The 24,590-nt window shown below is 41.1% G+C and overlaps 1 protein-coding gene across 8 annotated transcripts in view; it reads left to right on the forward strand.

Annotated features, from left to right (window-relative positions):
- The window catches only part of SLC22A3 (solute carrier family 22 member 3), a 104,200-nt gene that overhangs the window by 72,156 nt on the left and 7,454 nt on the right, over nucleotides 1-24,590 (forward strand). For 5 of the 8 annotated variants that reach the window (XM_005267106.6, NM_021977.4, XM_011536076.4 and 2 more), the window contains exons 6-9: nucleotides 16,247-16,344; nucleotides 16,464-16,678; nucleotides 22,228-22,336; nucleotides 23,097-23,209. In XM_005267106.6, coding sequence (XP_005267163.1) covers nucleotides 16,247-16,344; nucleotides 16,464-16,678; nucleotides 22,228-22,336; nucleotides 23,097-23,209 — 535 coding nt within the window. Of the gene's footprint in view, nucleotides 1-5,317; nucleotides 10,624-16,246; nucleotides 16,345-16,463; nucleotides 16,679-22,227; nucleotides 22,337-23,096; nucleotides 23,210-24,590 lie in introns of those variants that run through there. The other 3 variants (XM_047419262.1, XM_047419261.1, XM_005267107.4) reach the window with 3 other exon arrangements.

Raw genomic sequence — 24,590 nt, forward strand, 5'->3', positions numbered from 1 at the left:
TGGTGTCTAAGGACATATTACTAAAGAGTGAGTGTATTTACAGAACCTAGGACAACAGAGGGACTCAGGCAGTGTCCAGCAGGGTGGCCAACTGTCCTTGTTTGCCCAGGGCCGGGGAGTTGGGAGTTTCAGAGCTAACACCAAAAAAATGTCTCAGGCAAACTGGGTAGAGCTGTTCCCTCCATGACTGGGTCAGTCCTCATCTCCCCAGTTATGCTCAGAGGAAGATTCCAAAGGTCTACACTTGCAGGCGTCACAAGTCCTCCCTGCCCATCCCATGGGCCCTGATGCCTAGAAGAAGACACGGGATTCCCGCCTGGCTGGAGGATGGGTCTGGGATCTGCTTGCCAGCCGTTCCCGGGATTGGGGGCAGGTTGCTGAGCCTGTCTAGTTGCCTGCCAGGCTTCCCCTTTCTTTCCGCACCCCTTCCTCCGCAGAGCCTCATGTCTACCTGGTTCTTCATCTGGTCCTGAGTCCTTGCCCATTCTACTGTGGCTCTGGCCCTGCTTCATTCCTGCCTGATTCATCCTCAGAAGGCAGGTTTCTGTCCTGTCCCTACACATCCATGGCCTTAAAGCAAGATGCTGACGCTGTCTTGATGGCTGGACCTGCCCTTCCTAGAGACGGCTGCTGCCAACCCATTTCCCAGACAAGTACCCAGGCCACAGACAGCAGGGCCAGCCCACGGAAAACACAAAGCCCTTTTTTCCCTAGCTAGCCTCTCCATGTGGAGGAACAAGTCCTATTGCTTGGTGGAGAGCCAAAGCCCTTTCCTTTCTCACTTACTCTTCTCTCACTGCTACTGGGATCCTGGCAAACCACACAGGCAGGTCCATGTGGCTTATGACACAGGAGTTCCGAGCTTTGCGACATGACATTGGCAACTGCTCAGTTATCCGTGATTAGTTATGAATCTAAATGCGTGGGCTTCCCCCTTTTCCTTCTCAAAGGCTGAGCTTCCCCTTGCCCTTTAGGAGCAAAAGTCTTCCCCTTTCTACTCCAGCACTCCTTGGTAGGCAGAGAAGCATTTACTTCTTCCCTGCCTACCCTGAGCCCCGGCAGTATTACAAACAAAAGTAAAAAGTAAAACACAAGGCAAAACTCATCAGCCACACGGGCTTGTTTTATTCCATTAATATTGGTTGTTCTCTTTTCTGGGAGTTGTGTAGGCATCTAATTTGATTATTTTAGTTATGTGTCCCTCTCTAATAGAAAAGAGGAGTGAGTTTGCCTGTCCTTTTTCCGTTTCAAGCGTCTGCTGGGGAAGGGCCTTCTGATACCCTCTCTGGAATCCTTCCACTCTATCAGTGTGAGGGAAGAGGCTCAGCTTCTTCATGTATGTTGCTCCTTTGCCATTTGGTCCATTCTTGTGTTTTCAGCAAAACCAGTTTCCACAATCCAAATTACTGTGCTTCTCGACTGTGGATAAATGAGAAAATACTCCTCTCTGTGAACGCGCTCCTTCGTGGAGACAGTAATGAGTACAACTTCCAGAGCTCTGCGCAGCCAGCAACCCTGGCAGGAGTCCCTGTGTTATTCATAACCCAGAGCTGTGTTGCCATGGCAGTACTGCTTGCTAGACCTTGGACCCACCAGGAAAATTATCTTTCTTCATGAAATAATCCTAAGAAGAGAGATGTGGCTTGAGGAGCAGATGAAATTCATTTAAATTCCACAGCACTAGATTGAACATTGATGTACACAGATGTGCCCCTTTGACATAGATGAAGCTGGAGGAAATTGTACTAAAAAGTAAGTAAGTGAGAAAACACATTGTCATTCAATCTCTTGAGGTCCCATCCAGGAAGATGATAAAAAAGGTATCAGGTGCTGGATTTTCATGGAATCAATCCTGCTTTCCCTAGAAAGAATTAAAATTAAGATCCATCTCATAAATGGGTGGATGAACACCTGGGTTGTGTTGGCATAGCAACACTTCTTCATGTGGGGGCTGATGGTGGGACCCACCCACTCATACAAACAGCGTGCGGCCCATGCAACACAGAGATGGCTAGATTACTTGGTCTGGAAAAAATAAGATGGTCCTGCTCTGTTTTCTTTTTTCTCTGAATTTGGTGCTATTTGAGAGACGGAAATAGAATTTCATATACAGAAAGGCAAACAGATTGAGACAAAGTCTTTGTAAGGTGTCTGAATAAAGGAGGTGTTAATTGGTGATGAAGTCCTTTTATCCTTTGCGGGAGAAGGATTTAGATGATGTTAGGGAAAACAGCCAGAACCAAGAATATTTTTCTGCTACAGGAATCTTTTGTGTAACAGCAAAACTATGTCACCTTCTTTTTTTTTTTAAGTTATACTTTAAGTTCTAGGGTACATGTGCACAACGTGCAGGTTTGTTACATATGTATACATGTGCCATGTTGGTGTGGTGCACCCAGTAACTCGTCATTTACATTAGGTGTATCTCCTAATGCTTTCCCTGCCCCCTTCCCCCACCCCGCAACAGGCCCCGGTGTGTGATGTTCCCCTTCCTGTGTCCAAGTGTTCTCATTGTTCAATTCCCACCTATGAGTGAGAACATGCGGTGTTTGGTTTTTTGTTCTTGCAATAGTTTGCTGAGAATGATGGTTTCCAGCTTCATGCATGTCCCTACAAAGGACATGAACTCATCCTTTTTTATGGCTGCATAGTATTCCATGGTGTACATGTGCCACATTTTCTTAATCCAGTCTATCATTGTTGGACATTTGGGTTGGTTCCAAGTCTTTGCTATTGTGAATAGTGCCACAATAAACATATGTGTGCATGTGCCTTTATAGCAGCATGATTTATAATCCTCTGGGTATATACCCAGTAATGGGATGGCTGGGTCAAATGGTATTTCTAGTTCTAGATCCTTGAGGAATCGCCACACTGTCTTCCACAATGGTTGAACTAGTTTACAGTCCCACAAACAGTGTGAAAGTGTTTCTATTTCTCCACATCCTCTCCAGCACCTGTTGTTTCCTGACTTATTTTTAATGATTGCCATTCTAACTGGTGTGAGATGGTATCTCATTATGGTTTTGATTTTCTCTGATGGCCAGTGATGATGAGCATTTTTTCATGTGTCTGTTGGCTGCATAAATGTCTTCTTTTGAGAAGTGTCTGTTCATATCCTTCACCCACTTTTTGATGGGGTTGTTTTTTCTTGCAAATTTGAGTTCTTTGTAGATTCTGCATATTAGCCCATTGTCAGATGAGTAGATTGCAAAAATTTTCTCCCATTCTCTAGGTTGCCTGTTCACTCTGATTGTAGTTTCTTTTGCTGTGCAGAAGCTCCTTAGTTTAATTAGATCCCATTTGTCAATTTTGGCTTTTGTTGCCATTGCTTTTGGTGTTTTAGACATGAAGTCCTTGCCCATGCCTGTGTCCTGAATGGTATTGCCTAGGTTTTCTTCCAGGGTTTTTATGGTTTCAGGTCTAACATTTAAGTCTTTAATCCATCTCGAATTAATTTTTGTATAAGGTGTAAGGAAGGGATCCAGTTTCAGCTTTCTACATATGTCACCTTCTTTAGTGATGAACATGGAGGGTAAGCAGACAGGGAATCCTGGATGTTCTTGTTAACACATTCTTGTCTCCTAGCCGCTGTAACCTCAGCCCTGGAGTTGACAAAAGAATCTGTCCCAGTGGGCCACAGATCCTAGGGATTATGGAGTTATTGCAAAGATCCACAAACCATTAGCAACCAAGCCTTGTCTGTTGAATGAATTAATACATCTTGGATTAAAAAAAATGTACTTTCTTCAGATAAAATTAAATACAGTTAGAATTAATAACCAATAATAAATTGAAAGGTGTTATTAAATCATAGTAAATTTGTGTCATTATGTGGTCTCAAAGAACAGAAGTGAAGAGCACAATTCCTGTCATGTGGGCAATCTTTAAATTTTTTTGACATTAATCAGACATCCTCATACTCAAAAAGGATGAGTCACTGTAAGCACAAATAAGGTGTCTCTACCTGTTGCTGAGAGTCTTGACATACATAAACTTCATGACAACAACTTCTAGGATCCCTTCATTTCTTTCATTCAATAAAATACACTTGAGTTCATTATATTTTTATCTTCCACTGACCTTAGGGACAAATTCTGCATGTTAAGTAGGGTGGATTGAGTGCTGTGACTCCCAACTGCCTACTGTCTCTCAAAGGTGAATAGGATGGGTTGAGTACCACGGTTCCCAGTTGCCTGTCTCTGAAAGATGAATCTTGGCCTTTTCTGGCTTACATTTCAGAGCCAACACATGACAAATAGTTTAGATCTTGAGGAAGACTGAGGAAGGCTTATGGAATACTCAGCACAATTATTTTTATGGCACAGAGTGAAATAGAGATTGAATACTTACACACGTTTTGATTAGTATGTGTGTTCCACCAGGCTTACACACTTCTCTTTGAGATCTGATCTAGACACATTTTTCTAAAGACATTTCAGGTATTCCCTCTGCAGTTCATAACAGTTTATGCACTGCATTGATACAGGCTGCTCTCAAGTTAGCAGGGGACAGGTTTTTGATGTCAACTAAGTGAAATATAGTATCAACTTCATGTAGGGTTGCTTGCTGCCATCCCCTTTCTTTCCACAATTCTGTAAACAACTTGGTACATTTTGTTGTCTAGAAATAGCCAACCTCTAAATTTAAACAGGTTGAGTATTAAATTATTGCAGTGAACATTTTTTCACATTAAAAACTGAATCACAGAATTCTTATTTGATCACCACATGTTTAGAAAAACTATTTTAATGTCACTGACATGAAGTTGTCCCAGAAACGAAAGGGTATGGGTATACACAATGTAGCAGTCATTTATCTTCATTTGTTCCTCCATTTATTCAGCAGATAGTTACTGGGTGCTGTATTCAAGGCATCTATTTTTAAAATAACCTCTGTGAAATGTTCATTTCAAAAATGTCTCCCCAGATGCATTCAAGATGCCTTCTATTTTCTCTAATCCTCTATAATTGCTTTTCTTTTTCCTTTTTTCTTTTTGAGCTGTTTTCCTTCTCTCCCTCCCAATAATAGGTCTTTATTTAACTATACTTATTTTCATCATATAAATATGCACAATATAACTAAACACGAAGTTGAAGAACATGCATATAAGACATGTCTTATATGCAATGTCTGGAAATCACTACAGTGTGTTTTAATTTTGATTGATGTACACATAGCCTTTCACATTGAAATCTAGGTAAGGTAAGTACAGCTATTAATTATGGAAACTAGTCTATATATTTGTTGGAATATGATAAATCAAGTCACCGTTCAAAGTTGAATAAATAGTGAACACAATATAACATTAATGCAGATTAATTACCATGGCCCAGAGACCAGCCATGAGACATAACATGCTTCGCTGTCAACAACATTCAGGATTGGAATTCCAGAGATGGCGTGTGCTACTGGCTTATGGCTGATACGTAAGAGAATCTCATCTATCTCTAAATGTTCTGCCTTAAGCCGCACAAAGGACGTACCAGTGAACAATGAGTTACCATGTGCAGAAAATATTCTGCAAATCAAGAACCAGAAAAGTAAGCAACCCGCAAACTCCAAAACTCATTACATGATTGTGATCTTTATTTTGAGGTGCATCTAAACTGATCTTCAAACTCTTCAGCTATACCTGACTTTCTCTGGAATACTTCTCAGCATTTTCAAACTAAACCAAAGGCTTTCTGAGTTACATAAGGAAGGCAAAATTTGGATATTTGACAAATTTGGAAGCACTGAAAATGGAGGAAATTCCGAGATGACAGTGGTTTTGGTTCTTGTGGTTCTTGTGGTTTTGGTTCTTGTTTTTTGAGGGGTGCAGAGTTGGGTTACTTAAGACTCTGTGCATGGCTCAGGCATCATTGGGCTGTGCAACACTCGTCTCATGTCCTACTTGATTTTCTTCTCCCTTTCCTCCTCTATTCCCACTCTTCCCTCGGCAGGTTCCCACTCTAATGTGTCTGATTTATATGTTTGCTATTAATGTGTTCTTATGAAGTGGAGTGTGCTGTGTGTATTCAGGTGATATAAATGGTATTGTGCCACTCCAGATCTTGTATTTCTTACTTTTTCACTCAACTATGTGTTTTAAGTGTCTACCCAACTTGTTCATGTGTGAGTGCATTGCTTCCAACTGTCGTGTGATTTTCATTAGGCCATACCTGCTGTGTCTCTGGTCTCCATCTTCCTAATGATGGGCACCTGGGTTGCCTTCAGTAATTGTGATCGGTGTTTTCATACATGTCCTTTTCTGACCTGCGTAAGGCTCTCCATGGAGTTCAAGGCCTAGAAGCGGATCCCTTGGGTCCTGGTGTGCAGGCAAGCTTTGGACCCTGAATAACGCCAGCTTGCTTTCTGTGTCTACCGCACTAGTGGGACTTGTGGGTCCCTATTGTCTACATCTAGATTTAGTATGCTTCAGTTTCCTAATTTTTCCAGCCCCCTCAGTGCTTTAAGTTGCACATCTCTAGTTACTGGAGATTCTTTGTACCTTCACTGGAGCACTTGGAAAACAGAAGAAATCAAAGGGCAGTCAGGACTCTCCCAGCAGGCAGGGACCAGGTCAGAGTCAGGATGAAGACAAAGCACCCTGAGCAAGAAGCAATGGAAGAGATGCTTGTGACCCGAGCTGATGGGGAAGGTTGAGGGCAACGCAGAGACCCCACTGCCGACTTGCCAAGAAAACGTGCAGGAAATGAGGGAAGGCTCCATTTTCCTGAGAAAAGGGATGGAGGAACATAGGCAGCATCAAGCTCCAGCTACTGGCTCTTTGAGAATGTAGTCGGGACTTGCCCCAGTCACCCTTGCCCTGAGAACTCAGTGACTGGGGCTAATGTCACCCTGGCTGTCCTTGACCTGTGCAGAAAGCACTGCCAACCCTGGACAGTGGGGGAAGGGCCTTATGTGCCCAGGCCCCAGCAGGAGACACCTACCAGGAATCTAGTGGGACAAGGTTTCAGGGATCCTGGAATCCTGCCCACACCCAACAGCTGGAACAGTTCCCTCAGCTGGCGAGTGGACAGGTGGTCTGATGAGCTCATATGTTATTGATGATGATGTTAAAGACCATGTTCCCATAGAAATAATTCCCAAAGCATTCAGAAGACTGAGAAGAAGTGATGATAAGAATTGTTCTGGGCAGGAGTGTGTAGTTTTGATTTTTACTTGTGATAAAGCAGAGGATTTGCTTGAATTCACTCAAACTTGCTTTTTCTCTCTCTTCAAAACAACTTTGGCTGACCAGTGTCTCATAGACACTCAATTTGCCTTTTCATGGAACTCAAAATTTTGTGTATCCATACATGCTACCATAGTTTCAGGCACTGGGCATTTCAAAAATGTGATATTTAGAACCTTTCTATTTCCGTGATGACTGTTGGCATAGATGCTGCTGGAGATTTCGATGACATGTTGGATTCAGTCCACGCAAGTTTTGATGCATATTCCCTTAATTTCTGAGCCTTTAGAGTTAGAGTTTTAGAACTGAGAGTACATTCTCTTCTTTTTTCCTTTCTCCTCTTATGTCAACAGGCTCCCTTCCCCACCCCCCCACCCACACACACAAACAAAAAATAAAAATAAAACGCTCTCAGCTTTGCTTTTAAGAAATGAAGAAATGTTCCAACATGTGACCCACAGCTGCAATCCGTTCACCTTTGCCAATACTGAGGCTGCCCTCTGGGTCCCTCCTGGGACTGCATAGATAGAGGCCCATTTGCTGTTCTGGGCAGCATGCCCAGTCATCTAGGAGGTGGGGGACTGGGGCACTCTTTCAGGCCAACTCAAACTAATGGAATAAAATATCTTCTCCATGCAGTGTCTCAAAGAAAGAGCCACCTGGGCTGCAGGTGACCAGACTCGCTCAGTGCAGCACGGTAGCTCCTAGCCTCATGTGCAGTCAAACACATGAGATGTGGCAAGTCTGAACTGAGATGTGCTATCAAGTAAACTGTACAATGGATTTCAAAGATTTAATAGGAAGCAAAGAGTATGGAACGCCTCATGAATAATTTCATATTGGTTACACCTTGAAATGATCATGTTTTGGATCTATTGGATTAAATGAAAAGTATTATAAATTAATTTCCCCTGTTTCTCTTTATGTTTTTTAATGTGGCCACTAGAAAATGTAAATGTACTCGTGTGGCTCACATTATATTCTTACTGGACAGCATTGGTCCAGAGGACTGGGATTTATTTTTAACTACTTTAATAAACATCAAACATTTGTGATAATTTTAATACAAATATTTCCCCATCGTATATGCTCTTGCATGGTAAATATTTTATCTACTCTTGTTTTAAAGGATAAGGAGGTTTTCAAAAATTGCCGAAGTACTACAGGTAATTTGGCAAATTCTCTTTTATGGGTACCAGATAGTGCTATTTCCACCCAGAAGCTGGCTACAGCTCTGTAATGTGACATGCTTACTCCTGGCTATTCTGGGCTGGTCCTCGTCTGACTAATGAGCTCATTATCCACTGGGCAGTGGGATGGAAGGACATGAGCACCTCAGCTGTCACTGCCGAGCTTCCTCCCAGCCCCACCAGGCCCTCTGGTTCCTGATGCTTGTCTGTAAGACCAATGGGTACTTTAACTTTTGAAGGTGGTTTCTGGTTCCCCCAATCGGTGAGCCCAAAGACCTCAAATAACATTTTATTCACACAGACTTCTTAGAGATGAAAAGTTTCTAGAGAGCAGAGCCTTTAGGGAACTAGTGATGATGCATTCACTGAATAAATCACAGTATTATACTCAAGAGCAAATACGTTTTCTTTCTTATTGGTGTCATCTTTCCTTGTGAAATACGGCAACTGATGAAGAAGTCTCCTATTGAGAATAACCAGACGAAATCACAAGGCTAGACAAGCAGCTACTAACACCATCCCCTTCCCCCTGCCCATGGTAAACCCTGCTGGCAAATGTATTTCTCCCTCCTAAACCTGGGAGGACTCACGTTTCTGCACCCAGAGCCCCAGGTGGAAGTAAACAATGGGAGTGAGCCGATGAGGTGGGATTGCTGTTCCTTGACTCTTAGTGCTTCTCATGCTAGTCTCCTGGGGATGCAGTTAAAATGCAGATTCTCTCTCTAGATCTGGGGCGGGGCTTGTTCAGCAGGCTCCCAGGGGAGACCAACGCTGCTGACTTGTGGGTCATACTTTGAGTTGCAAGGTTGCGTACGTGGTATTTGCCAGTGTGCACATTCATGAAAAAGTATCCTGCCTTAAGCCTGGTAGATCCACAGTTCCAAATCAACATTAAATACATCTGGTATACTTAAGAAAATTCAACATAAAAAGAAATCCATTTCTTAAAAAAAAAAAAGGCAGAGCAACCATTCTCTTTATCTGAGGACCTTTAAAAGCATCTGCCTTTATGTGTCACAGCATTAGCTACTAATTACTAAAGGAAAAAGTGCTGGGTGAATTATCACCTGAAAATAAAGTAACTCTCAAATGTTATAAAACATAAGATTAATGTTGACAGCCTCTGTTACTATGACATATTGTGTGCCAGGTGTGTGTGTGTTATAGGTGCATATATGTATATATATACACACTTGTATGTATCTGTGTATATGTACACATATCTATGTATCTATATAGACAGATGGGTTATTTAAATGAATTTTCAAAACACTAATAAGGTGTGATTTGATAAATGAATAATATTTAATAATAATATTAAAATAATATATTTGAATATTATTATTCTCCTGCTACTGATGAGAAAACTAAGGCTCAAACAGTTTAAGTAACATGCTAGTAAAAAAATGTTCTGAGTAGAATACCACATGTCTGGCCTAACCCTGACTGTCTTTTTTCTGACCCGAGACCAGTCCTCCACGTGGGGAGCTCTGAACACCATATTTATAACAGATGGTTATTTATAATGTCTTTCTCTTCTTTGGCAATTTAAATGAAGACGTCAACTTGAAGAAATGTTTCACCAGGAAGAATTGCAAAGAGAGCTGAATTAATCAAAGAAAGACGAATAAAGTGTTCTTTTAATATGGAGTACATAATTGTTGATGGAAAACACAGTCTTGGCAGAATTAAAAGATAATCAAAGAGATGAATAGGGCAAATAGCAATTCAGCTCATTAAATAAATACAAGGAAACTAACCTCTGCAGTTTAACCTTGAGCGATACCTTTTCCCATGAATAGAGAGTGTCGATACTAGGCAACAAGCCTCTGAACAGATAGTGTTACCCGGAACATCACCCTTTTCTCCCTTTGCTTCAAATCAAAACCAGCATCCCCCATTTAGACAGCATAAAAGGTATGACAAAACGGGACGCCAAGTGAGACACTGTTGATTCTGTTTCTATGAAATTCTAGAAAAAGCAAAACTGTCATGACAGAAAGCAGATCTGGGTTTCCAGAGCCCAGAGTGGGGGGAGGGGACTGACTTCACTGAGACACAAGGAAACTTTTGGGGATCATGGAAAGGGTCCGTACCACGGTTGTGGTGGTGGTTATAAGACTATATATTTGTCAAAAGTCTTCAAAGTGTGCACTTAGAATTGCTGAAGTTTATTGTACATAAATTACATGTAAATATCATAAAGTGCATGTAAATGGTATGTGAGGTAATAAAGCAATTTTTTAAAAACAATTTTAAACCTGGTATAGCATTTTGTTTTTTTGTGTGTCTGACTCAGACCAGGCAAAATTTAGTAACCCTTTGGCAACAGAAAATCAGCACAGATATAGAGCTAGAAGTTATTGTAAAAGAATAATAGTGGCGGCCGCCACGGCGCAGGAGTTGCCAAGATTTTCCTGGATGAATTCCATCCAAGATACGGTTTTAAGTCTCTCAAGGCCTTTGGATGCCTAGAAAGTGGGTCATCTTTCAGAATATCTGCGTCACTGTGGAGATGTTAGTAAATCAAAGACCAGCTGGATTTGTCCTTAAATGTAGCAAAATATGTACTTGCTTGGAAGTACTCTTAATCCTTTCATTCACTGGACAGGGAAGACTGGTTTCACAGTCCTGACTCCCTTCATTCGTTATCAACACCTCGTATTTTTTTTTTGGTAGATGATATATATGAGGCAGTAAACTTGTGGTCTGGAAAAGCAGAGATCATATTACCACTCTGTTTTAACTTCTAAAAGTTTGAAATTAAGACTTATACCAGGTATTTTTATGGAGTGGATTGGAGTATAGAAGCAATTATTTTAACTATTTGCTAAAAAAAAATTGCCTAAAATATTCAGTTATTAAAGGAAAAGCATTGTTCTGGATTGGATTCTTCAGATAATTCTGCTTTTGGCAACAAGTAACAGAAAACCAACTTAAATAGGTTTGGACAATAAGGACATTCACTGGCTCGTGTGTCTGGAATTCTAGCAACAGCAGCATTCAGGGTTGGCCAGACCAGGATCTCAACAATCTTATTAAACCATGGTTTTCTTCTCCTCTCTCCACTCTGTTGACAGGATAGCTTCATCTTAAGACTTGTTGTCTCATCAGTGTAAGATGACTGCTAAGTTGTATGTGAGCCCACAATTTCCTCATTCATTCCTTGAAGGAAGAAAAAAGATTTCTTCAGGAACTTCTGACTTAAAAGCAATGAAGGACTTTCCCAGAAGTCCATTTCTCATTGGCCCGAATTGGGTTGTATGCCCATTTCTCATTGGTTCAAATTGGGTCACGTGCCCAGTCACTGACATGGAGGATACGATTTCCCTAAACTAATCAGGCCTCCCGCTACAACTAGAAGGAGACTCAGCTCCCACAAACATATGAATTGATGGTGCGGGAGAGTGTAGTGGGAATTCTGTTAGGAAAGAGAAGGAAGTCAACAATCGGGTACGCTGTGTCTAATTTAAGTCCATGACTTTAAAAGTGAGCTTTTTTTTTTGTTACAAAAATAATGTAGGCTTAATTTTTTTTTTTTTTTTGAGACGGAGTCTCCCCGACACCCAGGCTGGAGTGCAATGGCACGATCTCGGCTCACTGCAACTCCGCCTCCCAGGTTCAAACGATTCTCCTGCCTCAGCCTCCCGAGTAGCTGGGATTACAGATGCCCACCACCAAGCCCAGATATTTTTTGTATTTTTAGTAGAGACGGGGTTTCACCATGTTGGCCAGGCTGGTCTCGAACTCCTGACCTCGTGATCCGCCCGCCTTGGCCTCCCAATGTTAGGCTTAATTTTTAATTTTCAGAGATTATTTGTAGCTGAAAAGAAGAAAGTAATTAATGAAATGATACGGCATACTTTTAAACAATAAATATCATATTCTACATACTGCAGACACATTACCGCATAATGGTTAAAAATACAGACTTTGCTATCAACCTCCTGGTTCATCTTCTTACTGTCTGTGTGTCCTCCTTGGGTAAGGTACATAGCTTTCCTCCACCTCAACTTCTTTCTCTCTGTAATAGGAATGATAGTAGTATCTGTACAAGTTTCTCCAGCACTAAGCCTCTCATTCAGGGGTCAGCAAACTACAGCTTGCAGGCCAGACATGCAGGCAACCTGTTTTTGTAAATAAATTTTATTGGAAGCCATTTATGTATCGTCTATGACTGTTTTCACACTACGATGGTAAAGGTAAGTAGTTCCAACAGAGGTCTTAGAGCTCACAAAACCAAAAACATTTAATATATAGCCCTTTGCAGAAAACGTTCGCCAACCTCTAGGTTAATACATAAGATCTTTATTTTCTTGTCAAAATCTAACATGTCATAATTCTGTGGTCATTGAGTGACTGGAGATCTGCCAGAGAAAGGCAATTATCTACAGAGCTAACATGAAAGCAAGAGATGCTCCTTTATTTTATCACTTAAAAACAGTGAAGAATCATGAACAACTGAAAAATCTACAAATGTGTTTAAATGTCAAATTAGGCTGGGCATGATGGCTAATGCCTGTAATCCCAACATTTTGGGAGGCGAAGTCAGGAGGATTGTTCAAGCCCAGGAGTTCAAGACCAGCCTGGGCAACACAGCAAGACCCTGTCTCTACTACTACTACTACTACTACTACTACTACTACTGCTACTAATAAGCCAGGTGCTGTGGCATGCACCTGTGGTACCAGCTACTCAGGAGGCTGAGGTGGGAGGATTGCTTGAGTCGGGAGGTTGAGGCTGTAGTGAGTCATGATTACACCACTACACTCTAGCCTAGGTGACAGAGAGAGACCCTATCTCAAAAAAAATTTTTTTAAATTTTTTTAAAAAGTCAAACTATCTACCTGAACTGACCAGAGATCTTGAAATATGTGATGTAGGATTTCCCTTCAACTCTGGGATGTTGGAACTGGAAACTTGAGTGAGAGTGAATTTGTTCACACTCATAGCTAGTGGATAGAAGTCATAGCTCTCAGCAGAAGTCTGAAGAGGAAATAAAAGAGAGCCAGTAATAAATTGCTGTGAATATTTCTTTTGAAAAGCAAAGAAAAAAGTATTGCCACCTGTGTGTGCTGAATGGACAGTGGTATTGATATGTAGACAAGGGATCCTGTCAGGGAATCCCTGGAGAGAGAAGAGTCTGAGACTGACACTGCCCGGCAGCCCCAAGTCTGAGTTGTGGAAAAGCCCTCAGTAAAAGGAAAAACTCATGGCAACGAGTTGGTGGTGATACTTTCATGGAGGAACATTGTCCTTGCAGGATGGGTGGTTTTAATCCTGAATTTAAAGATCTTTAAAATCTAAATTATCTAGTCAAATTTTTTTCATAAAACAATGTTTTAATTAAAGATTCAGTTTTAGGTCAAGTGCACAGTGTCTTTCTTTAAAAATATTTAGATGTGGCCATCAACTATCAAGAATGTTTCTAGAATGAAATATATTCAGCAGTGCTGTGTGGGGATCAGGAACACAGGCTCCACCAATCAGTTGCCTGGTTTCAATTCCTGGCTGATTTACCTGTGTACTATTCACTCCTGAAAGTCCTAAGCCTTGTTTTCCTTATTTATAGAATAAGATTAACAGAAGTACTAACTTTATAGAGCTTTGATGAGACTTAAAATAATCCACGTAAAGTGCTTAGTCTAGAATCTAATATCACACACTCCATAAACACTAGCCATTTTAATGTATTAACACATAGAAATGAATTGTAGAAAACATTTTGGCAACAAACTATACCATAATATATATTTGTAATCTATGGAGTTCCTATCTTTCACTTTTGATATTCCTGTCTTGTTTTTTGAGCAGCAAAGGTTAAGGTAGACACAGAAAAATCCCTCACTGGGGTCTTCAAATTTAGAAGGTTAGCTCAGGGGTCATCTTAATAGACATTATATTAGTTAAGATCCAGGTCAACTTGCTAATGAAACAAGGCCCCAAAAATACAGTGATGAAAAAGATAAAAGTGTCTTTCTCTCTAGCACACGCACACAGAGGTGAGCAGCCAAGCTCTAGTGAGGCAGCTCTACTCCATGAGTTCCATTTATCTTGCATCTCCACCATCGCCTACACAGGTGGTATGGTTGAAGCTCACCAGCATCTTCTTCCAGCAAGTTATTACCTTTTTAAATGCAGAGACCTAGAACTTATACACATGACCCCTACAACCACCTCATTGCTGAGGTCTTAATCACAGTGCCACTCACAGTTGAAAAAGAGGATAGAAAAAATGACTGTCACTAGGCTGCCATATGCCCAACTAAAATTCTACGTATTCTCAAAAGAGGGAAGGGAAGCATGGATGGTGGAATCCATCAGCAGTCTTCCACGGCGATTGTCATGGAAACTATTGTTTTGTTGACTCTAGACACTATTGATTTTAAGACACATAGTCATTTTATGTACCACTAAGTAAAGGAAACCATGTTGTTTAAACTGGGACACATTTCTTTCTTACCAGCTCAGTTGTAGGACACCTTCCAATTAAGAGATGTTAAAATGTAGAAAACCAATGTGTCTTGGTATAGAAGAAATACAGGATTGTGAAGACTTTGGAAAAGAAAGTGACCAAAGGCATTCATTTTGCAGTCTACTTTTGTGTGTGTGTGACTTTCCTTGGAGCAAAGATAGGCATAAGATATCAAGCTTTGGTTGATCTATTGAATTTACTGTTTAGAATCTGTGATTGACAAGGTACTATCAGTGTGTGTATGCTCTAAGTCAAATTCCTGTGATTACTGGTAGAGAGACTTTAGCTCAAAGCTTTGGGGAAAATGTGCCTAGATTTTCATTCAATCTGGGCCAAATCTGGAGTTGTACAAATAGATAGCATCGGTCTTGTCCTTAGTAGCCAGCATTTTTGTTTAATAGGAGGAGAGAAACCCAGGACGACACTGAGGAACAGATATGACCAGGGCACTTGACTTCTTGTTTCAGCACTCAGTCATTACACAAACAGTTGTTGAACACCAGGCACTTTGCTTGGTGTGACAATGCACTCCCGCCTTCCAAGAGCTCCAGACCCACAGGGGAGTGCTGTTGTACAGGTGCTAGGATAGAGGTCCGGGGAGTAGAGGCAGAATTTGGGAGCCATCAGTTCTATCTGAGGCTAGGAAAGGCTTCCCAGGGGAGGTAAAATCAGGACTGAGGAGGTCAAAGAGCCCTCCATGCAGAGGTAAGAGACTGACAAGCACAGGAAACTGGAGCTGCGGTCACTGCAGGGTATCATGCTCTGATGCTTCCGCATGTTAGACTGGAGGCAGGATGTGGGGATTGGGGGGTGTCCTCTCCAGCTTCGCTTTTTTCAGTGTTTTGTATGTAGTTGGCCAATAGCAGTATTTGTTGAATTGAATTGAAAAGACCAGTTTCTTGGATGGCCAGCTAGAGATGAGCTGAATTTTTCTGGATCAAAAAGATGTTAGATTACAATAAATGGGCAAAAGCAAAATAATACCTTTGGTGCTTACTCTTAAACTTAACATTACTCTATTTTGTTTGTGAAAGTCAGATTTGAGGATTTAGTTTATAAAGAAACCCTTAATTGGTTGGATCCCACTTGCTTCACCCACCCTGACTCTCATTTCCCCCAATGTAATAAATGTGCATATGTATTTAGAACATACAGAGCAGTTTAACATAAAGTACTGAAATTATCCTAAGAACAGATTCTCAGTGCAGCAATCCTATCTTTGTGAATTTGATGTGTTCTAAATGCAAGAGCAGAAGTGTTTTAATTGTCAGGTTTTAAGATATTATGAAAGCCCCTAGTCACTTCAGTAAGATCATTTGATTCTGGTTAATGACAAGTCTATACTATGCAGGTTTTTTTTTTTTCTGTCTATTGCTACTGAAATCTGCTTTTCTTATATAGATCACTGTTACAGATGAGGAAGTTAGTAATCCATCCTTTTTAGATCTGGTGAGAACTCCCCAAATGAGGAAATGCACACTTATTCTTATGTTTGCTTGGTAAGTTTGACTTGTGATGGATTTAAAAGCTTGCGTTAAATTTACAATACATCCCTTCCTTCAAATCAGCTTGAAGTTATCTCTTACTTGTTCTCTGGTGTCTTTCAATGTTGCTACAGGTTCACAAGCGCAGTGGTGTATCAAGGACTTGTCATGCGCCTGGGAATTATAGGGGGCAACCTCTATATAGACTTTTTCATCTCGGGCGTGGTGGAACTGCCAGGAGCTCTCTTGATCTTACTAACCATTGAGCGCCTTGGACGACGCCTCCCCTTTGCGGCAAGCAATATAGTGGCAGGGGTGGCATGCCTTGTCACTGCGTTCTTACCAGAAGGTAATCTTACCCCACATCTGTTTGGCAGCCAAAGGACTTGAAAACACCTAAATCCACAATCAAGTATAGGGAGCCACTTGTTCTTAGGAAATGTGCAATGGAATCACAGTCTTTCGTGATGTCACTCCATTTTCTGCTTAATCAGCATAAAAACTTCGAAGTAAGAGATTGGTTCTGTAGATGATTCTCTTTTCTCAATTGCTAGGATCATTTATGAATGAAATAGATATTGTGCCCAATCTAGCTGATAGCGATGTGGTTTCTGTTACTCATCTTTATGTGACTTACTTTTGTGATATCTCTGATGTTTAACTTATTTCCTGAACCTCTGCCATGCTGCTGGCACCATGCTAAACGCTGAGGTTACACATAGAAGAACGCAGTCTTGACTTCGAATGGTTCACAATCTATTAAGGGATACAGATACTTTAATATTGTCACGATTCTTATTGTCATGAATTATTTGTGAGATTTAGAAACTAATTAAACTATTTACAAGATTTAGAAATATAAAAAAATAGATTGGGGAGGAGTGATCAATCCAGAAGGGGATTCAAGAAAAGCTTCCCAGCAGTGGGAACTAAACATGCGTGAAGACTCAAATGTGCCAGATATCAGGGAGAGAGAGGACGGACGTTTCCAAACTAGAGAAGAGTTTCCAGAAGTATGAAACACCTTTGTGCATGCAGGAACTGAGGGTTCATTGCTGTGACTGGAATCCAGACAAGGAGCCTGAGAGATGATCTGTCACCAGCATGACCAGCCCTGCAGGTGGTCCTGTGAGCTTGCGGAGGAGGAGGAGTGAGTTTGGCATAACTGCAGCAGTTTAGAGATGGCTATGAGCAGGGGGAGATGCTGAGAGCAGGAGTTACAATTGGGGCAGTCAGACCTAGATGAGAGAGGGTCATTTCATTTCAGAGATGTTGCAGAGTTAAATTTTTCAGAGCTCCATGCCTGGTAGATGGGGTGCAGGCCAGAAGGAAGCAGAGGGTGCCGTGACTCCTGATGTGTGGTGAGCAGCACCCAGAAGATCCTTACCCTAGAACACACCAGGAACTGGGAGGAGGAGGGCTTCACATCCCAGGGGATGTGTGAAGTAGAGCAAGTTCATCATTCCCCTCTTCCAGGAAAGGCAAAGTGGGGATTACAGAGAAAGCTGGATTCTCCAGGCATCCTTTGTGTCTGCACAAAAAAGGCTGTCTTTCTTTGAGAATCCTCTGAGGACCAGCCAAGAAATGGACAATATAGTGGGAGTCAGAACAGTCAGACATTTACAGATGAGTTTATTAATTAAATGAAGGTTTATGAATTCTTAAAACACGAGGTAGGCCCTATTTGAATAAAATTACAGGAATGCCAATATTCGGAACACACACACACACACATACACACACACACACACACACACACACAATGTACAAGTCCCCTGACATGTTGGAATGTTTGATGATGAACAGCAACCACCTATTTACATTTCTCTTGTTTTCCTTGAGTGCATTCGCTTCCCAGGGCTGCTGTAATAAGTACCACAAACTCACCGGCTTGAAACAACAGACATTTATGCTCTCAGGGGTGTGGAGGCTGGGAGTCTAGAATCAAGGCATCCAAGGGTGCTTATGTCCAGAGGTTCTGGGGAAGGGTCTCTTCATGCCTCTCTCTGGCAATCCTTGCAGCTCCTTGGTGTCACTCCTATCTCTGCCTCCATATTCACAGGACATTCTCTTCTCTGCTTGTGTCAGTGTCACCTTGACTAATTACATCTGCAAAGACCTTATTTCCAAATGTAGTAGCCTTGAGGTTCCAGGTAGACATGAATTTTGGGAGACACTGTTCAACCCACTACATGGAATTAACATATTATAAGAGTTGGAGGATCTGTACAATAGCTATCTCTTAATACGTATCTATTTAGTATCGACTAATTGCCAGCCACTGAACTAGGAGGGGAATGGAGAGGTGAACAAAATAGACATAATTCCTGCCCTCAAAATTGTATAATTTAAGAAGAGTGAAAAATCGCAAACATTGGAGACGTTACTGTTCTATTTTACTTTGGTACTTTGGATATAACATACAACTGTAGCTCCCTGAGATGAAGTCTTCTGTTCTCATCGTATGTGGACTAGGAATGAATGAAATATTCATTGTATATGAAATTAGAAATGCAGCGAGAAAGATGCATGCTTCGGTGTGTCCCCTCATTTCATGATATATATATATACTTTACTCTATAAGATTTTCTCTGGTCCTAGATTGATTGGGATGACTTTAATGTTTGTTGCATTCAGAATGACCCCAGAAAGCATTCAAGGCTGTGTGTCCAAATCAAGACAGAAGTAACTAGCCGGATAGTCATATAACTATTTTGTAGAGAATTCTTTCATATATTGGAAAATATAACACCAAGAACAGACTGTTCTCCCTTGTCTAACCAGTTTTATTTTATAGATATAATTTCCTGATTGAAGCTTTAGAATTGTTCTCAGCAAGACTGAAAATGAATTGCTCTTATTCTAGACACATTTTATTTTTACCTTCTGCAGACTTGGCTGCTTTTATAGTCATATGTCAGTCATGACTGACTGGCAAGAATACATTTCAAATCCCTAAACTGAGTTCCAAATATTAACAGACGATCCTCCCTTGAGTCCTTCCAATTTAAAGACCCATTGGACTTGATTCCAGCCACTGGTTAATTAGCACGAGAAAGGCTTTTCTGCTCAGCCATTCCTGACGTCAGTAGTAGGTCGCCAGCCCCTGGGGAGAATACAGATGAGCTTTTGGAGAAACCAGCTCTAAAATAGTCTCACAGCAAACACTTTAATCAGCTTTCCCTCCACTCGACCCAACTTTTCATGGTCTAAAGAATGGAATTCTGGAAGAAGAAATAGTAGTTCTGGTTGTATTCTCATCTCAGACTCACTGCTTCTAGTCCAAATTTCTTAACACTCATTAATGTCTGGAAAATAAAGACCTTTCTTTATCCATACCTGTCTGCCATCTTTAATTTGAGTTTATTTAGGATGACCACAAACCTAGCAGTTTGGATAAGTCGTCTTCTTGAACTGGAAAACTTGTCTTCCACTTTTATTTTTCTTTAATTGAAAAGTGAGTTCATGTATCTTAATTTAGACATTTCTACTAGAATTTCTCACTAAACTTTATTTCAGAACTCAGAGTAGATGATCCATTCAGAGGACATATAAAGTTTTGTTTAAGTCCTGCATCCTTTCTTCAGGAATTGAGGTATTATTCCCAATCATCTCTAGTAGCTTGACCAAATCCACATTCAGAAGAAAACATTTTCTTTGTTCTCATGTAATTCCATGGAAGACAATTTTAGTTTCAGTACTCATTTTTAAATTGCCCTGTGGTTTTTGTCATTGCTACCAAAAGATGTCTATGGCCACCTCAAAATGAATTTAGCTTATTACTGGAATCAAGAATTTCTTTGTGTGTATATATTTATTCATACTTCCTACAGTTTTCTTTTCACTCTTTAGTTAATGAACCATGCAATGCCTTAGAAACTTTTCTTTGGTTACACATTTCAACAAAATCTCTGTTCCAGTATAGTTTGATACTGGACTCTACTGCTTGGAAAAGAGTTGGGAGTCTTTCAGATTAAGGTCAATGTTCCGGACAGACCACATCTCCACAAATGGGGCAACTTGGCATTTTCTGAATGTTTTACTGAATTGACTGGCTATTTATCTGAGTTAACCACATATGTTTATCATGGTGGAGTGTGTGTGTGTGTTTTAATTTGGTCTCTGGCTTTTGTTTGGATTTTTCCATGAAACACCTTGCCTCGGTTATAAACCCAAATTGCCCTTGAATTTGTCGGTGGGACTCAATTTTAGAGCAATCTTGATTTAGTGAAAAGAAACATACAATGGAAGAACCCAACCTGGATAGTGAAGCTGTTTCCTAGGTAGCAGGCAGCCTTCACTGCAGCCCGGGAGTGGCAGGAGATGGTCCCATCGGGCTGGGACCCAGGGAATCTGAGTCTCTGCTCCCACTTTCCCCTTCCAGTACCACATGCTCATTGAAAGATGGAGTGGAATGCATTACCTAGTCTCCACTCCCCCCTTTTCTTGGTCTTCATAAAGAAGCAAAGCCTAAATAACACATGTTGACAAACCTTCTGCTCCAGAGCAGACAGTGGCCCAGCACATCAGCACAACCCTGGCCTCCTCACTGCCTGATATAACCGTTAACGTGACAGCTACAAGGGTTCTCATGTGGGAAAAACATCAAGTGCACCAGGATGTCCTTGGCCAGTTTGCAGTCAAAATATGTAAACTTCAGACTCCCAGAAATGGTTTGGATTCTTGAGCCATCTTTTCCTTACACCTGTGCTCCTGGGCAATTGTTTTATTTAATGAATTTTAGCTTTTTTTTTTTTTTTTGACTTGGCTATTCTCTAGAGAGAACACACAGAAGTCTACTGGGCTTGATTCTCTTCTTTCATCCTCCTCATTCATTTCTACTAAAAAATTATATATTCAGGAAGGTTCAATAATTCCCCTAGGAAACAGGAGGACTATTTAGTGCTAAATGAACATATGTGTTGGATATAAAGGGAAAATGAAAGGCACATGAACACTGGACATGCTTCGTTTTGCTTTGGAGAGCAGATATGGTCTTGTTCATGCAGACATATGTCCTCAATACCAAATCCCCTAGGAAAGGATGACATCAATTGCACAACTTCTAGGAAAGCTAGAGCAGTGACTTTTTAGAGTAAAAATGGTTAACTCCTCTGCCCTTAAAACATAAAAGAAAGAAAATATTTAATATAGAATGTTTGGCATTTCCCACTAGTTAGTAGGGAGGAAAGGAAAATTTCTTCATACAACCAGAGCAGTCCTAAAACAGTTCATTTTAAAATGGACGAACCAATTAGCATTGATGAATGTGGCTCCTTCTGGATGGTTTATTGAAGGAAGTAGTACAATGGGGGATGAAGAAGACAATGAGTGACATTTGCCTTAGTGGTAACACACAGAATAGATGTCCCCTTCCAAAGATCCTGGTCCTCAAAGCTTGCTCCACTCTAGAAACCAAGGTCAGCTCACGTGAGGAACTCCCCAGGTGTGCTGGGAACGGCTATTCCTTGTGTCACCACCGCAAGGTATGCACAGAAAGGACAGCTGGGCACCAGCTGTGGGAACGTGGTGGCTCAAAGGCATGACTGGAAACTACCACCTGGACAAAAAGCCAGTGTGCTTTGGCTCTCTAGGAGGTCATTGCCTGGAACAATGTTCCAATGTAGTGGCTGCTCATGCTCAACAAACGGTTCTTGAATTGTACTTCCTATAATCCAACCTGCTCAGAAAGGCATCTAGCGCTCTAAAATATTAGCTATCATCTAGTTTCATTGTTGTTGAAATTTGGTTACATTATTAGAAAGTTCTATCATTTGTGCTTAAAATTGGCAAAGACTTCAGACTGGAGGCCACTAAGCAAATACTTTTTGTTGTTCTGTAAAATGTTAATGAAATCAGACCCCTAACTCCTCCCTTTCAAACTTTCTGTGTTTGCAGGAATAGCATGGTTGAGGACCACAGTGGCTACATTGGGAAGACTAGGGATAACCATGGCCTTTGAAATTGTTTATTTGGTAAATTCAGAATTGTACCCAACAACATTACGGTAATTCTAACAAACGTTATAGTTTCTCCTAAGTAACTCTGTAGACCAGCGTTTTAAGTTGATTTAGTTAAAAACTATGAAGTCGTTTCCTTAGCTCAGTGATATATTAGCCTAGGCTGAATCCAGCTAGTAAAGAAGATATGCTTTGAGTTATCACTGCTTTCTGCATTGCTGCCTGCTGCATTTTGTGATAAAAGTATTTCTCATATTAATATCTTCACACACTGTTACGGTTTTGAGGAAAGGCCCTTAACTTGAAACCAGAAGACCTCTAGGTGCCCTTGCTTAGACTGTGGGTTAAATCTGTATCCATCAGCATCACCTGCTGCAAGACTATGGCCTCTCTTTGACTGCATTACATGCATTGCAGTGGTGAGCAGCTGGTTATGAAGGATGAAATGAAACAGTGTGCACGGATTAGTGCAAATCAACCTCCTCTGCTGAGGAAGCATTCCCTGGGCACACTTCTCCCTCAGATGAGGAAACCAAAGTAGCACAAAGTGACCCAGAGCAGGCAGGGCAGTGGGTTGCTGATGGATAACACCCTCCACCCACGCTGGAGACTTCCTCACTAGCCTTACTGTGAAACGTGCAGAATGGAAATGTTTTGCTTAGAGTTCTGAGAGTAGTCGTTTTCAAAGTTAGAAAATGCAAAGTATCTTCACACTTCCTTTGGTTTTTTAATATGTCTGAATATGTTGATTATCTTGAAGTCACTTGTTGAAATAGTTTTCACTTAAAATTACTTTTCATTCAACAGAAATTTCGGAGTTTCGCTCTGTTCAGGTCTGTGTGATTTTGGGGGAATCATAGCCCCATTTCTGCTCTTTCGGCTAGCAGCCGTGTGGCTAGAACTACCTCTGATCATCTTTGGTAAGAACTCATTTGCTATTCTTAAGAGCCTTCATCTACATTCTTTGTACTAAAAGAGACCTATAATAATTGTTAGGTTCAATAATGATAATGATAGTCATTTATCTTATTATAATAACTATTTCATTGATAATTATGATATTAATTTCATCTTATTATAATAACTATTTCAGTTTTGAGAGCCAATTCAGTTATAATGAATGGTTTTAATTTACTTTATATTAAAGGGTGCTGATAAATAATGTTCAATTAGCATTCTTTGGGTTCTGAGTTAAATGCTGTGAAACTCTTATGGTATTGGAGAACATAACCAATAATTTTCAGGGGACTAAATTAAATATTCAATATGTTTAAAAATGAGGGCCAGGTGCAGTGGCTCACACCTGTAAGACCAAAATGGGAGGACTGCTTGGGCCTAGGAGTTCAAGACCAGCTTGGGCAACATAGCAAGACTGCCTTGACAAAAATTTAAAAATTAGCTAGGCGTGGTGATCCATGGGTGCCTGTAGTCCAAGCTACTCAGGATGCTGAGGCAGGAGGATCAAGGCTGCAGTGAGCTATGGTCACGCCATTGCACTCCAGCCTGGGCAACAGGGTAAGAACCTATCTCTAAAATAAATAAATAATAAAAAATAACAAAAATAAGCCTAATGTCTAATTGTATTTCTGGTGTTCTCTCTCTATGGATATCATATCTTCATTGGCCCGATGCTAAAAATCCATGTGGAGGGAGCAGGTGACACAGGATCCCGGGCACACATTCCATCACCTCCTCCAGGTCCCTCGAGTGCACCTCTCCTCCTACCTCCAGCTTCCATAGGACTTGTGAAGGAACAGAATCATAGTCTAGGAGGGACCTTGGGGAATTCAGTGTCCCACTTCTCCAGGGCTGCTCCAACGGTCCTGCCTGGGTTTCACACACTTCCCCTGTGCCCTCTTCTGCAGTAAAGGATACGGGTTGGCCCCTTTCTCACGCAACCGTTTCTCTATCTCCACTTCCTTACTTCTGGTAGAGAATGTTTTTCATTTATGGTTCAGCAGTTGAAATTTGAATGAAAATACTGAGCCCATGAGGACAGACCTTCTGCTTCATGCAAAAGTCCTTTGACAGTGTGAGGGACAAAGAGTCGGCTTCTACCACTTGACACCAGTGACCTCAATACAGGATCACCTCAAATTATTGTATGGGATTTGGTCATCAAGCTGAGTGTTAATTCTGTGGTCAGCATGAAAAAGCAGAAAGTGCTACTGTCCAGCAAAGACAGAGTAGTCCAGGAGACAAGACACATGACCTTCAGGACTGCAGCCCACAGCCCAGTGGCAGGCAGGCGGGGCCTGAGACTGCGAGGGGAGACAGCCGAATTTCTAAAAACTCAGCGAC

Source organism: Homo sapiens, chromosome 6 (assembly GCF_000001405.40).
Source record: "Homo sapiens chromosome 6, GRCh38.p14 Primary Assembly".
Taxonomy (NCBI): domain Eukaryota; kingdom Metazoa; phylum Chordata; class Mammalia; order Primates; family Hominidae; genus Homo; species Homo sapiens.